Source organism: Homo sapiens, chromosome 7 (assembly GCF_000001405.40).
Source record: "Homo sapiens chromosome 7, GRCh38.p14 Primary Assembly".
NCBI lineage: Eukaryota > Metazoa > Chordata > Mammalia > Primates > Hominidae > Homo > Homo sapiens.
The window spans coordinates 118205322-118223148 of record NC_000007.14 but is presented as its reverse complement, the minus strand read 5'-3'; positions in this window follow the sequence as shown (position 1 = coordinate 118223148).

Below are 17827 nucleotides of genomic sequence, written 5' to 3'. Positions count from 1 at the left end.
GCCCCAGAATCAATCCACCAACAGCTTTTTTTATTCTTTATAAATCCTTGGAGGCATTCTCAAATTTTATCTTTTATACCTACATTTTGACAGCCAGCAAATCCTGTCAATTGTAAATACAAAATATATTCAGAATTTTTTTATCGTATCTGTATTCCCTGCTGGGTTATCACAGTCTTATGACTTTAAATGGCATCTATATGCTACTGACACTCAAATTGAGAGTTCTAGTCTGGTTCCTCTCCTGAACTCCCAACTGGTATGTCCACTTGCCTATTCAATACCTGAATTTGGGTTGTTTATATTATAGACTCAATAAACATCTCACCCTTAACATGTCTAAACTGGTCTCCTCACATTCCACTCTCTTACTGTCTTTCCTACTTGAGATCGAGTAACCCTATTCTTCCAGTTGATCAAGGCAAAAGCTTTGATGTCATCCTTGACTCTTCTCTTTCTCAAAGGCCACATCTAATCAGTTAGCAAACCCTGACTGCACTATTTCCAAAATATAAACAGAATTTGACCACTCCTGTCAATGTATCCCAGACCAACATCATCTGTCTCATTTGCATTACCTTTCTTTAATATTTTACACTAGAATCCTGACTGATCTTCATGCTTCTGCCCTCATACACTGCCCTTGCCCTGGTCTATTCTCAACCTAGCCACCTGAATTATCCAGTTAACATACTGTCTGATGAAGTTACTTATTTGCAAAAAACTCTCCAATCATTTCTCAAATTCCTAACAGTAAGAGCTAAATTTCTTATACTGATCCACATGGCACTATGCAATCTGCGACCCCAATCCCATATGCCCTGCCTCCACTTTTACTTTTCTGACCTCAAGTTCTTCTTACCCAAACTCAAATTGCTTCAGCCACAGTGATTTATTTATTTCCCAGCACACTAGGGATGTTCCTGTCTCAGGGACCCTGACCTTATTGCTCCCCTTTCCTGGAATGCTGGTCCTGACACAATAATATAAGCTCTGAGAAGGCAGCCATTTTTGTATGCTTTACTCCAGGCTACTTCTCAACTCGCAGAACAGGGCTTGGCACATTAAGTGCTCAGTAAATGTATGTCAAATGAACGGATAAGTATATGAAAAATAACCTCTGTTTCTATTTGCCTTTTGAATTCTTGGATGCAATTTTGGGCACAGAACTTTTCCTATGCTCAAACTTTTCCTACTATGGAACAAAGCTAAAAACCAGGCTGTAGTATTTAATAAGAAATTTGAGGGTGCCAGATGCAATGAGACTACAGAACTTAATGTAAAACTGGCCCATCAAACATGCCTACTTTCCAAGACCCCAGACTCCAGTCCATCTCCATAAGCACCTCCAGAAGGCAGCGTCCTGGCCATGGGAGCGTGCCAGTTCCTATTCTACCCTTAGGTGCTCCTGAGAGCAGGAATCTTTAAAGAGCAGTGCATAACACTCAAGTGATAAAAAAAAAAAAAAAAACAAAAAAAAAAAAAACAGTGATCTGCTGGGTGGGGAAAAAAGTACCAGAACTTCTTCATACCTATTTTTACATCTTCCCTTGAAAATAATTTTATATGCTCTAGAATAGACATGATATGTTAGTGTACCGACACACGAACTCATATATTTAGTATGTAAATCAAAAAAATACAATCACGTGCCTCATGACATTTCAGTCAACAAGGGACTGCATATACAATTACAGGCCCATATGATTGTAATGGAGCTGAAAAATTTCTGTGGCCTGCTGATGTCTTGGATGTCTTGATGATCCTGACCCTCTGTAGGCCTGGGCTAATGTGCACATTAACAAGAAAGTTTAAAAAAAATAAAAATAGAAAAAAGCTTGTAGAATGAGGATGTAAAAAAAGAAAATATTTTTGTTCGGCTGTACAATGTATATTTTAAGCTAAGTGTTATTACAAAACAGTCAAAATGTCAAAAAACTTAAGTTTATAAAGTAAAAAAAATGACAGTATGCTAAGGTCAATTTATTACTGAAGAAAGAAAAATGTTTTTCTATAAATTTAGTGTAACCTAAGTGCACAGTGCTTATAATTCAATCCTTCATTTCCTCTTCCAGGATAAGTCTTTTATTTGGATAATTGCTTTTTAAAAATCCACTATGTTTAGGGCAATATACCCTCTGCCTGACAGAACAAGTCATCAGAACACAGCAGTCCAACATCCATATGAGGTATATAAAGACATATGGAAGGATTATTTCCCTCAGGAGCTCCCTTCCATCTATTCTATTTGGAAATAGTCTCTCCTATTTCTGCTACCTTAATTTAGTCTCTTTATCACTTGCCTAGGTTACTTCTGTGACCTTTTAAATAGCTTCTGTACCTTCACTTTAAATACCATTCAAACAGTGGTGGGCTGGAGGTGACTCATAGCACACCCAGGGTCAGATTGCTAAATATACAAGAACTTTTGGAAGCTTACACTCAGAAATGGGAGTATTTACATAACGAAAACTGGCAGCCAGGCACGGTGGCTCACACCTGTCATCCCAGCACTTTGGGAGGCCAAGGTGGGCAGATCACGAGGTCAGGAGATGGAGACTATCCTGGCTAACATGGTGAAACCCCATCTCTACTAAAAATAGAAAAAAATTAGCCAGGTGTGGTGGCGGGTGCCTGTAATCCCAGCTACTTGGGAGGCTGAGGCAGGAGAATGGCGTGAACCGGGAGGCGGAGCTTGCAGTGAGCCGAGATCATGCCACTGCACTCCAGCCTGGGCGACAGAACAAGACTCAGTCTCAAAAAAAAAAAAAAAACAAGAAAATTGGTAAGAACTACAAATCAGGGCTTAATTTCAATATCAACTGTTAGAGTATCCAAGCAAGAATTATGAAAAAAATAGATACTGAATAAAAGTGGCAATGAGGTATGTGTGTTTACAGTCATAAATGGCTGTTTTTCACATTTGTTTATGGTTACTATTTTTGTCTTTTTTCCATCAATTTTCCTACTTCTATAATTAACATTAATACTCATATACAAAATTTTCCTGAAAGTTTAGTATAAAGAAACTGTTCTTGGGAAGTACAGGAACAGAAATCTCATACACCTAAAGATTATATCTCTTTTGTTATAATATTAGTAGCTTTTTTGAATTACTTGAAAATGTATAATTCCTTTTTCAAATTAAAGAATGTGTTTTTAGTATACCCTGTAGATTTTGCGAAGATTAAAATTGAGTCCTACTTAAGAAAATTGAAAATTAAAAATAGCAAAATTGTGAGATATTTCTACACCAAAATTATTACCTTTCTTTCTGAATTTTCCTTAAAAATAGTCCCCCAAGGGCCTTTATCCATTAATTCTTTCATTCATACATACCTCAGAGGTGAATTGAGCCCTACTGTGACATTTACCCCCATTTCTCAGGACCATCCAGCTATAAACAATTTTTATCTACTTCTGGTCAGTGTGATTGAAAAATGTGAAAATATTAGTACTAAATGCCAATTGAAGGTTTCTCTGTTTCTCTTCAAAGTAGAGCATTTCTGAATAAAGGCTATTGTACTAGTCAATCTTTCAAAGCTCCATTTACAATATAATTAAATTCTAGGTGAGTCGTTGAAAATATCTGATGTGTGTATATTTTGTGAAATTTTTCCTCTACTGAGTTTAAATGTCACTTGGCTATAATGATAGTTCCTTGATCCACTGACACTTCCATCCTTGCGGATCACTATTTCTTATCTTCTCTATCTACCTATCTCCTACTCTGATGACTTTGTATTTCACTGACGCAAAAAGCCAGCAGAAGGCAACTTACACAGGCTTCCTGGACCACACTGACCCTCTTGCCTGCACCTTGCCCATTGTTCCTTTTTTCCTCTTACTGTGGATGAAATGCTCCTGCTCCTAAGTAGGCCAACCCTTGGGAAACAGGTCATCACCTCTTAAGTTCTGAAGGATATTGCTCCACTAATTCTCCCTTTTCTGATTTCAATACGATGTTTTCTTTTTCCTTTATTCAACAGATACTATAATTTCTCAGTGCTTTATAGTGTGCTTATGCACACACGCGCACACACACACACACACACACAGACGCACAGCTGCTGCCTAGATCTCATTTTCTCTTAGCACAAAAATTCCTTAATGGAGTTGTGTGGAATGATTTTTCTAGTTTTTCTCCTCGCATTCTTTCTCAAACCTGCTTCCACCAGATGTCTGTTCCTTCTCTTTGGGAAGATAACACCTCTATCCTATAGGACCGCCCATCAGAACCTAGAGCCCAGGAGATCTACATTTATGTGAGAGGTACACAGACATATAGAAGGGTTATTGCCTTCTATCACTAATGAGCTGTTTTTTTATCTTTTCCCTTTTCCCCTTGTCTCCCATTCCTGTTGCCTTAGTCTAGGCTCTTCTTTGTTCCTTAAACTATTGCAAGAGACATCTAAATGATCACTGAGCCGCAACTTTTATGACTACTCTTGCCCATCCTCCACACTGCTGTCAGCAATAACTTTATTAAAAACTTTGGTGAAAACTTTCCAATAGATCTTCACTTCCTACAACTCAAAATATAAACATTAGCCTGATGTAACATAGAGCAATTGCGCCAAGCCCTGTAACACACGGCCTTGAAATAACACAGAAGAGATAGAGCTGGTTTGGAATATTTTTCAGATAATTTATTGAGCTCTTGATGTCTGCTTATCTTATAGGACCAGGCTGTGCCTAACTGAGAGAAGAAACCTTCTAGATAATTATTAAATAGATACTTCTTTCAAAACATGAATCAAATTGTGTCACTCTCCTTGCTTAAAACTCTACATTGTTTCTTCATGGAGAAAAATGAAAAATTCTTAGCAAGTATATTTAAGCTTCTACATGATCTATGTTCTGAGTATATCTTTAAACCATTCTCCCTTGCTCATTTGTGCTCATGCCACAAACCATTTGTGATCTCAGGGGTCTCACACATGTTATTCTCTCTGCCTGGGACACATTTTAGCTTCAGTTTTGTACCATGAGTGTTTTCTCCTCCGTGGTTTAAAAGTGTACATGTAAGAAGCAGCAGCTTTTCCTGGAGGAGGAGAGAATTTTGATTTAGATTATTCCATCCATAACAGTTGGCAGCAGTCAGTCTAAAGTGAGGACTAAAAATGAAATCCTAATCTCCACAACTGACTGAATGGACCCAAGGGGACCCCAGAAAAACCTTAAAAACTGGGCTCCCAGCCATGACAGTACAGGAGGCTCAACATGCCTCATTATACCGCCTCCCTTTTGTGGTGCAGACACAATAACTGATCAGCATTAATGTCAAAATAGAGATCATAAGAATGACATAATGGGTTCTTTGTAGCAATAAGATATCAAATTGGATAAGACACCTAAGCAATAAGATATTTATGTCCTGTTTTTAATTGGGTATCTTATTGCTACAGAGTCATGCCAGGCAAGGGTTAAGTGACACACCCCTACACCTAAAGAATAACTCTGTTCTGTCATGAGGTTTTTTTTTCCTCTAGCAGCTAAACAAGCACTGACCTCAAGACAAGCAATATTCAAACAATTGCATTTCACCAGCCAACAGACACTGAATAACTGACCCCTCTGTTCCACAAGCCATAACCTCTGCTTTGATTGGACAAGAGACTGATTTCAGTAACTTTCTTCTGATAAGAGATCACTGACCATAGACTGGCTCTGGCCAGTTTACAGAGGCTCTGTGCTTGAGTGCCTTTATATCCCTGCTTCACCTTTTGACTTATGGGCCTAACTGTAATGCATTTAAATGCAAAGTGAATATGGAATGCATGTAGCATGCATGTATGCTCATCATTCATGTGACCTCTTTTATGATTATTCACAGCTCTTCCTATAACCTGTTAAATATGTAATCTTTAGCCAACCCGTGCAACATAAAGTTCCTGCCCCAACACTTCCTCCTTCAAAGTGCCTGCTAACAGTCTTTGCTAAAGGCTAGGCTTCCCAGCCTGTCAGAATGGCCGGCCACCTTATAGGCTGCAACCTTTTATAAAAAATAAAGTCTCCTTTCTTAATTTATACATTTGTGATTCTCATGTTGACAAAAGTGATGCTTGGACACTTTGTACCTCAGGTACCCGATCTGATGGTTGACCTGCTCCAAACACAGATTCTACAATGTGCCCCACTCCCAATCCCCTGCCAGGTGGAAAATCAGAAACAGAACTCAAATTCAAGATCTCAGGACAAAAAAATTGACACCTCATCCAGTTTTTTTGGTGACCAAAAACAAAGTCTGTCCAAACAGGATGCCAGCCTGGTACATTCACTGGTCTGTGAGACCAGCTTAAATACCAGGCTTATAAAACACTGGATATGTTTTATCTTGTGATTCTCCTTCTCATGACAAACAACACTTTAGATAGCACAATGCAAAATGAAAGCCCAAAAATAGAGCAAGAAGGGACAAAAGAGAATGGCCTGATTTCACCAAAGATGCCAAACAAATGAGACTCAGTAGCAAAATCCAGATACCAAATTAAGAAACCAAGAAAATCGAAGAAAAAATAGTAGAGGAACTGAACACACACACATAAAGCATAATGCAGACTTGTGCTGACTTAGTCACATCAGCAAAGACCCAACAAGCCATGAAAAGCAAGGTGCAAGGAGTCTCCACGGGAACCACTGGTTGAAAGATGGGGTCTGCAGTAATAGGCGGTATAGACCAAATCTTGCTGTTGGTCTAGGGAACCTGTTCACATAAAGATAACCCAAATGAGAATAACCAGAACCTATTTTTTCAGAGTTTGCATAGCAAGGGAGTCAGCCATCATTACTTGCATCTGACAGAGACTCAAAGGCAAAAAGGAAAATGAAAAAACTTTAATGGTGAAAAAAAGAAAAGGCTTCTGGTTTGCTCTGATTGGGGGTTGTTGGCTGACTAGAAATGGGGCAACTTATGTGATTGGTTTGAGGATCTATTTGGTTTTCTCTGGTTGGTTCTGGTTGGAGTGAGGCAAAATACTGGCAGTCACTGACCATTCTGGGCTGATGGCTGCAGAGGCTGTGGGTCAGAGTTCTACTTTCATACATGGTCTGGCCATTGTCTATTTGTACATTCACTCTCTGACACATATTCTATTATTATATCTTTGCCTCCTGATTTTTAAGTTTTAAATCTTCAGAAAATGTGTCTATTTAATGAGTTATTATTAAAGTTTTTAAATTATTTTTTCTGTCATGTACAAACATTATAAGAGAAAAATTCTCCATATTGTATGCCTCCTTAATATATTTACTATTTCCATTGATAATCTTAGTAACAGAATGAAAATGATATAGTAGATTCAAATTCCTACTTAGCCACTTAGAAGCATAATAATTTTCAAGCTTCTTAACTGCTAGGGTTTGAATGCATCTCCTCCAAAGTTTATGTTGAAACTCACTTCCCAACCCAGCAGTATTAAGAGGGGCCTTTTGGAGGTGATTAGGCTATGAAGGCTCTGCCCTCATGGATGAGATTACTGCCTTATAGAAGGTCTGGAGATAACTATCTTGGCCCTTTTAACTCTTTCTTTCTGTCTGTCATGTGAGGATACAGTATTTGTCCCCTCTAGAGGACACAGTGTTTAAGACATCATCTTGAAAGCAGACACTGGGCTCTCAGCAGACACCAAAACTGCTGGCACCTTGATCTTGGAATTCCCAGCCTCTAGAACTGTAAGAAATAAATTTCTATTGTTTATAAATTATCCAGTCTCAAGGAATTTTGTCATAGCAGCACAAACAGACTAAGACATTAACCATAGCTCCATTTCGTTCGATGTAATATAAAGATGATGTACTGGTCACTTCCCAGGACCGACCTCATAAAGGAGAACCTTTTCTCCTTTACCCTATGTGTATACTACTTCAGAATCCTTGGAACCATGTATCTTTGATATAAATTGCACTCATTGGCTACACATTTGATTCCTTCAAATCTTTTAAGTGTATCTCTATGATTGAATTCATGACACTCATTTGACATTAGGGTTAAAATTTAAAGGTAAGGTTTTATGGAATGAGACAGAGCCAGAAGAGGACAGGAGGAGTGATTCTGCTGAATACCTTTTTTTCTTTACATCTAGACTGCGTACTTTTCTTCTTTCTTATAAGTTTCCCTTGGAGATGTGCTGCCACACTCTCTGAAAACACAGCTGGGACATGGGTTGCTGAATGGGCTCTCAATCATTAATCATCCCCTTTACCTTCAAGAAACATATGCGGAAGAGCCCAGAGGGAAGTGGGAAGAGAATATGCTCCGGAACTGAGGTAGCTGCTATTAAAGTGGGATAAGGAGACTCTTAAAAAAACAATTGTTAAGTGCAAGATGCCAGGGGAAGCTTACTGGGACGAGACTTTCAGGGTCCTGGCGCCCTGGTCGGCACGGGCCAGATCCTGTGCAAGCCTGCTTGTCCACAGGCACCGCCTTCCTTTGAACGCCTCAGCATCTGCTCTACCTCCAGACCTAGCAAAGACCACCACCGCTAGAGCCGGCGTGCTTGGTCTGCGCATGCGCGCTGGGTCTGCGCCCACCAAAAGGACGCGCGCATGGGCAAACCTGCCATTTACGGAGTTGGGCGTGGCGTCCTTGCCCGCCTCAGAAGTCATGATTTGTAAGCAGCAGGGCTTTGCTGCGGCGGGGCCACGGCGAGACCTGCTTCTTTGACCCAGCGCTAGTGTAAGGGTTCCTGCGAAAAGCAGAGAAGAGAGTTGTGCGTCTGGACTTGTCCGCGGTATCCTGAACCCTCTCCCCAGAGAGATGAAATGGTTTGTTCTCCCGTAGAATAAAGGGACAGTGGCCCCCGGCTCCTCTGGGGCTAGAGGAGAGGCCTCTCAGGGCGCTGGCTAGAGACGAGGGATGGGAACCGTGCCCCATGACAGAGCTCGGGAAAATCCACCGGGGTGCCGCGTGGGAAACGTGGCGAAAGTGCAGCACAGTGTTTTGATGAGGATCTATGGGCTCAACCTAGGAGTCAAAAAGGACAGGTAACAGGACGGCGCAGACAGGCCCCGTGGAGCTGAGCCCAGGACGGATTCTAGGAGAGGCGCACTCCGACCTCGACTCCATCGCTGCGGAGCTGGTCAAGTCCTCAAGTTCTGAGAGGCCTGTTCTGTCCTTCTAAGGCTCCTTCAGTCAGGGACACCGAAGCACCTAAAACAGTAACTGCACACAGAGTCCAGGCCAAGTGTGCCTGTCAGTCTTTCATGAATCAAATCTTTTAAAACAGCACAAGGGATTGGGGGCGGGTGGGGAACAGGGGGTTCGGGGGACAACACACCTTTATCTGGATCCTTGTCTTTTCACAACTCACCATTATAGGCCACTTGATTGACAACTTTAAAGTGGTTTCATTAAATATAAATACCAATAGAAATAAAGTATATACACCATCATTTCCATTTTAGTAGACACATTTCTGATGATCAAATATTAGCATATTGTAGAAAAGTATGTAATAAGAGAAAAAACTCCCATAACATATTCACTTATGAATTAAGAATATTTTTGATGAAGTCAACATACTTTTTTGTTTTTTTGTTTGTTTTGAGACTGAGCCTCACTCTGTCGCCAGGCTGGGGTGCAGTGGTGCGATCTCGTCTCACTGCAACCTCCAACTCCTGGGTTCAAGGCTGACGTTCGAGTGCCTCAGCCTCCCGAGTAGCTGGGATTACATGTAAGCCCCATCACACCCAATTAATTTTTGTATTTTAAATAGAGATGGGGTTTCACCATGTTGGCCAGGATGGTCTCGATCTCCTGACCTCGTGATCCGCCCGCCTCGGCCTCCCAAAGTGCTGGGATTGCAGGCGTGAGCCACCGTGCCCAGCCAATAGACAATTTTTAAAGCAGTTTTAAATTCACAGCAAAATTGAAAAGAAGATACAAAGATTTTGCATATCCTGCTTGGTCTCACACATGCATAGCCTACCCTATTATCACCCCAGCAGAGTTGTACATTTGTTAGTTGATTAACCTACATTGAGACATCACTATCACCCGAAAGCCCATAGTTTACATTAGGGTTCCTCTTGGTCTTGTACATTCTATGGGTTTGGACAAATGTGTAATGATGAGTCCCCCATTATTATAGTGTCATATAGAATAGTTTCACTGCCCTAAAAATTCTCTCTACTTTGCCCTTTAATCTCTCCCTCTCCAGCCACTGGCAACCACTGATCGTACTGTCTCCAGGCCTTTGCCTTTTCCCGAATGTCATATACTGCAGTTGGAATCATACATTATGGAACCTTTCAAACTGGCTTCTTTCACTTAGTAATATGCATTGAAGTTTTCTCCATGTCTGTATTAGGCCGTTCTTGCACTGCTATGAAGAAATACCTGAGACTAGGTTATTTTAAGAAAAGGGGTTTAATTGGCTCACAGTTCTACAGGATTTACAGGGAGCATACCAGCGTCTGCTTCTGGGGAGGCCTCAGGAAGCTTCCAGTCACGGCAGAAGGCAAAGGGGGAGTAGGCATATCACATGGCAAAAGCAGGAGCAAGAGAGAGAGAGAAGGGAGGTGCCACCCACTTTTAAACAACCAGGTCTCATGAGAACTCACTCACTGTCACCAGGATAGCACCAAGAGGATGGTGCTAAACCTTTCACGAGAAATCCACCCTCATGATCTAATAACCTCCCAGCAGGCCCCCCCTCCAGTACTGGGGATTACAATTCGACATGAGATTTGGGCAGGGACAAATATCCAAACTGTATCACTAGCCATGTTTTCATGGCTTGAGAGCTCATTTCTTTTTAGTAGTCAATAATATTTCATTATCTGGATGTGCCACAGCTTAAGTATACACTCGTGTCAATGCACATTTTGGTTGCTTCCAAGTTTTGGCAATTGTGAATAAGGCTGCTATAGAAACCTGTGTGCATGAAATTATAAACCACAAACAATAGACTACCTAATAAGCAATGTTAGGATTTACAACATTTTGTGAAAACTGCAGAACTTTGAAATGATAAAACCTATGTTAAAATAGACAATGGGTTTTATTTGGGATTCTAGAATAGTTTCAGTAATAAAGCTCAAGAGCAAATTCTTCTGTTACTTCACTATCTCACAAAATAGTAGTAAATGTTACCTCGTTAAATCCTTGCAACAACTGTTGTAAGTTAAGAAGGACAGATAAGATCCACACCTGATGGAAGACATTGAGCCTAAGAGAAAGTACTTAACCAAGAAAATACAGCTACGTGTAACAGCCAGGGCAAGAACTACTAAACTCTTTTGACTTCAGGACTCTTTCCATCACATCATGCCACCTCCAGTTAAAGAGTTGTACCAACCTCAATTTAGGATTACTCAGCCATAATTTTTCAATTACATACTAATATAAAACTCATACAGCTCAGAAATTTGAAGTGGATAGATATATACTAATTTTATATAATTATTAATATAGTTATGAGCTGCTATCTCTTCTACGGTCAGAAATGAGTATTATGTAATATGGTTGCTACTTTATATTAATATCAGTATTAAAATAGTAATGTTACTTATCACACTTTTTGTTTACTTAGCAATCACCAAGTAATTTCTCAGGAAAAATAAGAGACCCAAATGTTCTTTTTCTCAGATACAGCAATCCGGTTAAAACTTCTGATAGATTTTCTTTTGGTAGTCCTGTTAAAGAGGAAAGTAAGATTATGAAAGTTTTGACAATGAAAGAGCATTTTAAAAATCATTATGTAAATTTATTAGTTTATCTGAAAATTCAAGAATTTTGGATTATTTAAGAAGTGATTTGTCAAATTATGAAATAATATCTGAAGCCAGACTTTCTTTTGTAATGGTTGAAGTGAGTATGCTTGGAAGATGGTACAACTTTTGTGCTTTTTGAGGGTATTTTTTAGTTTTCAATTAACATTATAATTACATATATTTATGGGGTACAGTGTGATGTTTTGATGCATGTATTTATGTGGAATGCTCAAATCAGAGTAATTAACATATCTGCCACCACAAATATTATCATTTATTTCTGGTGAGAACATTTAAAATCTTCTTTTAGCCATTTTGAAGTATAAAATACATTATTATTAACTATGGTCATCATACTGTGTAAAAGATTACCAGAATTTATTCCTCCTGTCCAACTGGAACTTTATACACTGACCAACATCTCCCCTTTTTCTCTCTACCTCCCAACCACCATGAGCATTTGGTAAGCACTATTCACCCTCTACTTCTGTGAGTTCCAATTTTTTACATGCCACTTATATGTGAGATCATACAATATTTGTCCCTTTGTGCCTAGCTTATCTCACTTAGCAAATGCCCTCTAGGTTGTTGCAAATGACATTTAATTTTTTAAACTATTTGTTATATTTATAAATAGTTTAAAATTATATTTATATTTATAAATTATATTTATATTTCTAAATAGTTGTAAAAATTAATTTCCAGTGTTGTTTCCTGCTTTTTGAAGCCTGGATAGTATTCCGTTGTGTATATATACCACATTTAGGAGAAAGTTTTAAGTTCTAAAGTTCACTATGTTCAAGAAGCCCATACAGTACCGTTATATAAGTAAAAAGCAAATTAAGTATAATATTTGTTTTTACTTAAATTAAGTAAATTATTTTAAGTACATATATACTTTAAAATAATTAAGTATATTATTTGTTTCTCTATACTTATAACATTGGATTTGTTACAAAATGGATCTACTGCTTTTACAATTGAATTATTACTAATAACCATTAAATATGATATAATGATTTATTCATAATAAAAATGCTTGTCTATTTAAACTAGGACTGTAAACAAACAGAAGACAATATAAACTACAATAAGAAATGTCAGATTTAAAAAAAAAAGACATGTCAGGTTTAGACAGTGTACACTAATACCAAATTATATTTTCAGTTTACTCTTGTGGATTCTTATAGAAATTAAAAGCATTTTTTTACTGAAAATCACAAGTTATTTTACACATGGTTGTATTAACAGTCTACCAATATCCTTTCCCTTTCATAAGTTGAAAGGAATGATATATGTTGACTCCCATTAGAACAAAATACTTTTATTTCATCTGTTGGCTAATTGTCATGATTTACTAATTTTGTTACAACAAAGATACTTTATTGGCATTAGCCAGAAGATTTGCATTTGTGTAATAAACATACGAAGAGACCATCGCTGGACTCTACTCAAAGTTTTAATAGATGTACAAAAATGCATCACAAAAACAAAAATATAATAGTACAGTGAAAATTGTTTCCCTTTAGATGTGGTGACTTTTGTAGTGCATGACCTGAACAACTGCATGAGGCCACCATGAGTTTAGTCTACATTTAGTGAAACTTCTATGAGTCAGGCATTTTGCTAGATGCCAGAAATGCAAACATGAAATAGGTGTAGTTCTGATCTTCAAGGTACGCATACAGAACAGTTAGTTTTAATGGTTTTTCAAAAATCTTTTCTAAGGAAAATATTAATTTCATTCACTTATTCATTCAACAAGTAATTATTGAGTATCTTTCAGGGGTACTAGGGTATGCCCTAATATTGGGAAATAAAACATATTTTCTTACCTAAATATACTTTTAAAATTACTTTATATGTTACATATGCTTCTACTTTGAGGGTGGTATCTATGGTCCCTTACTTAAATCTTTAATTATATTCAATTTTCAAGGCAGCTAAGTTTTGTTACAATATACCATAATAGACTAATCAGCAAATAGCTTTTTAAATAGTTTAAAAAATTAAATGCCAATTTAATGGATTGTAGCCATTCGAGTTTGTTTGTTTGTTTTTTGGCATAGGTCTTGTCATAATGCTTGATAAAGCATGATTATGGAAAGGGTTAGAAAAGTGACATCCTATGATGCTAACTCTTTGAACCATCATGCTATAAGAAGTAGTCCAGACAGCTTCTCTGCCACCTAGAAGAGAGAATCCCAGGAGATCACCACTTAAAACAAGAATCACAAACACTTTATTAGAAATAGAGTTCAGGGCTGGGTGTGGTGGCTCACACCTGTAATCCCAGCAGTTTGGGAGGCCAAGGCAGGCGGATGACCTGAGGTCAGGAGTTTGAGACCAGTCTGGCCAACATGACAAAGCCCCATCTCTACTAAAAATGCAAAAATTAGCTGGGCATGGTGGTGCATGTCTGTAATCCCAGCTACTCGGGAGGCTGAGGCAGGAGAATCGCTTGAACCCTGGAGGCAGAGGTTTCAGTGAGCTGAGATCTCGCCATTGCACTCCAGCCTGGGCGACAAGAGCAGGACTCCATCTCAAAAAAAAAAAAAAAAAAAAGAGAGAGACAGTTTTGCTTACATGAGATGAACAAACTTTTATCCCACTGGAGAAAGGGACAACTGATGACACACTCTGGAAGCTTGAACATGTTGATATGAGTTGCATCTCCAGATGGTACCACTCTGGCACATGCCTCCACTTTCTCAGTGGTTCCTTTTCAACTTAATTCACGGAGTATAACCTCCAAGTCGTTTAGAATAGATGAATTCTTAACATGGAACTTTTTCATTTATTCTTTCCAAGAGAACAGAAATGGCCACGTTTGCAGGATTCAGTCAAAGGATAGATAAAATGGCTAGGGCTAAACGAATTTATTAGCATCTTCCTGAGAAGAAGAATAGGGAGAATAAGTAAGTACATTGGTCTCTCTTGCACATATCTCCCCTGGCAGCTTGAAAATTTTTGCAAGGGTCGTTATCTCTTACCTGTTTTCTATCATCTGCTATCTTGCAAAATACAGTGCCTCTAGGCCTTACAATGGATGCTTTGTGCTATACTCAATGGTGTCTACCAATATTCCCTCATTGGACTAAAGAATTAAAGAGCAAAATAAGTATGCTCTCTGACCCTACTGGAATAAACTCAGAAACATCATGCTATTTAAATTTGTCATTCTCCAAGTGTGACACCAATTCTGTTCATGATGATATTTTCTGTTAGTTTGATAGGGTCAAGTTAGGATTATGATAACTGTAATTCACTTTTAGGTATCAAATTTTCATAAATCACATTCTCCCTTGCATATGATGATGTGCCACGTGAGATATTTTAATGCATTAATTGCCTACCAAGAGTATAATGAATATTCATTCTGGATATTGTTCAATTATGTTCCAAAGGGGTACTTTGTAGCAAAGCCTCAGAACATTATATTTTCAATGTTATTATATATTTGTTTATTGTTTAATTGAATTCCTTATACTTTTTAGTAATGGATGAGAATTCTGAAGAATAGTCTTTACGCTGGTAGAATTTTATGATTCTTTTATTATCTTTTAAATAAGAGAGTTGGGAGAGATGGAACTAATATTTATTCAGTGTTTTACTCTGGGTTAGACACCATATTATGTGCTGAGCATATCTTCTCTGCATAATTATAATGACTCTGCAAGGTTGCCATGCTGTCATTTTCTTGTTTTTACTAATCACAAAACTATGGTTCAGAGAGATTAATTGGCCCAGGATCCTACAGTTAAAAAAAGTGGTTAAACCATAATTTAACTCCAAGCCTGCCAGGCTCCCAAACGCATTCTCTTTCCTCTCCCCATAGTGTTTTTACAGCAATACTATCAAAATATGGGATCCAATAAGATCCACTTGAAGAAGTCAGATTTAGTTGTGTTTTCACTCCAGTTGAAATTTATTTTTGAGAAGACTCATTAGGCCTAGAGTTTCTTCTAGTTGAAGTAATAATACTTGTTTTCCTCATCAAGTGTTTGAAGGCAGATCTCAGTTAACCATGGCCCCAGGACCATAGATGAGTTGATTGGCTTCTTTATCTTCATGAAATTGACATAAGCAGTACCTACTCTGGCAGGTCTGTTCTTCTAGAAATTACTTTACAATACATATTTTGCAACACAATGTACAATGCAAATATGCTATGCATATGGACTATGTTATACTAATTAGATTCAGCATCTATTTAGAGAGTGTTTCTAATTGGTTTCTCTACTTGGGAAAATAAGTCGAGGGTAAGAAGTCTTACTGTGAATTTAAATCAAATTAATTGTAGCCTTTTATATCAGTTATGCCTAATAAAATGTTATTTTCTTGAATTAATTAATTACAGCAGTAATCATGAATTCTCCCTGGTACCTCTCAGCTCCAAAGCTTATATATATATATATATATATATATATATATATATATATATATATATATATATATATATATAATATGTAATAATATATAACCTAAAAATTATATATAATATATGTAATATTATATATAAACATGTGTAATATATATAAAGCTAATATATATTAGTAATTATACATATATATAGAAAGAACTCTGTGTATCTAAAGAGAGATAACTTTTTCTCTATCTTCATTACTGGTTCTATACTTCGAATGAACAAAATCTTAGAAATATTGGTTATCTTGTAAGACGAATTTAAATTATCTACCCCAGACCAATATTACAAAGGGATTTCGCTATACTTCCTAAATATATTCATTAAGAGTGTGGTAAAAATTTTTCATCCAAATCCCAGAATGCATGCTCTCCTAAAATAATTCCAGAAGCAGTAGCTCTTGATAACCACAATCTAGAGCTTCCCAACCTCAGGAATTTTTGTTTTATTTTTATCCTTATACACATTTTATATCTCCTGCAGTATTATAAGCTGTTTGAGATCAGGAGTCATATTTGTAGATTTCCTGGAGCACCTAGAATAATGTCTAGCACATAAAAGGCATTAAAATGCAATGTTACAATAATGCAATCAGCATAATATGCCTAGCAATTAGTATTTTTGAATTTCTAAATGTATGGCATACATTTATAGTCCCTATTGATGTTTATGATGTGTAAGTTCAATTGAGTTATGTTAAAGAACTATAAATAAAAAAGAAGAACACAGTATGTTCTCTGATATCTTCTAATTGTAAGCTTATACAGGGAATTTTAGACCATAATTTCTCATTTTTTAACCCATGCCCATGTATCATTAAATATATATTTCAAACCGTATATAGAGAGAAGTATCAGATTTTATTAATTTATCTATTTTTGCACCTCTCTCTCTTCCTCTGTCCAGTAATCTACAGCTGTCAGGTAGTAGTAATAAGCATATTAAACTGCATGACAATTTATAGTTATAAAATTAAGCTATTAATATTTATTACAGTAAGTGTTTATAAATAATTGTAAAATAATATACACAAATTTAATTATAAATGTCTATGAAAAAAGTTTCTGATATGTCTTTTCATAGACTTTACTATTCTTATCTTTTTCTCTTACTTCCTTGGCTTAAGCTCATACCTAATTGGTTTGTCCTGTCACACCTCTGTCTCTACCACTCCTTCCTTCCTCTTTTTCACTCACTTCTCTTGCTCCTCTTTCTCTCTCTCTTCTTTTTCTTTGATAATTATTACAAGCAAAATGTCCACCTTACAGAATCCATTTATTCAATGTCTAACTCTTTCAGTTCATCTCCTTTTTTTCATCTCCATTGTCACTGTATTTATTTACAGCTTTCTACTTAGTAGCTATGTGTAAGTGCAGACACTCTCCCATTGCCCCCACAGTGTGTGTGTGTGCTATTTTTTTTTTTTCTTTTTCTCGGAAGGACCTGAACTTACACAATCATTTTTCTTTAGTTTTTTAAACAAACCAAAGCAACCTGTACCGTTTATAATTTCACTTATCTAAATGACCTGCTACTAATAATTACGTTTAACTAATTCTTTCCACAAAAGATCATTTGGATGGCATGAAACTGGCATTTCAATATATAATGAATTAGATTCATTTCCAAAAACTAATATTTGTCAATACTACTCTATATGGTAACCTAATGAATACCCTATTCTAT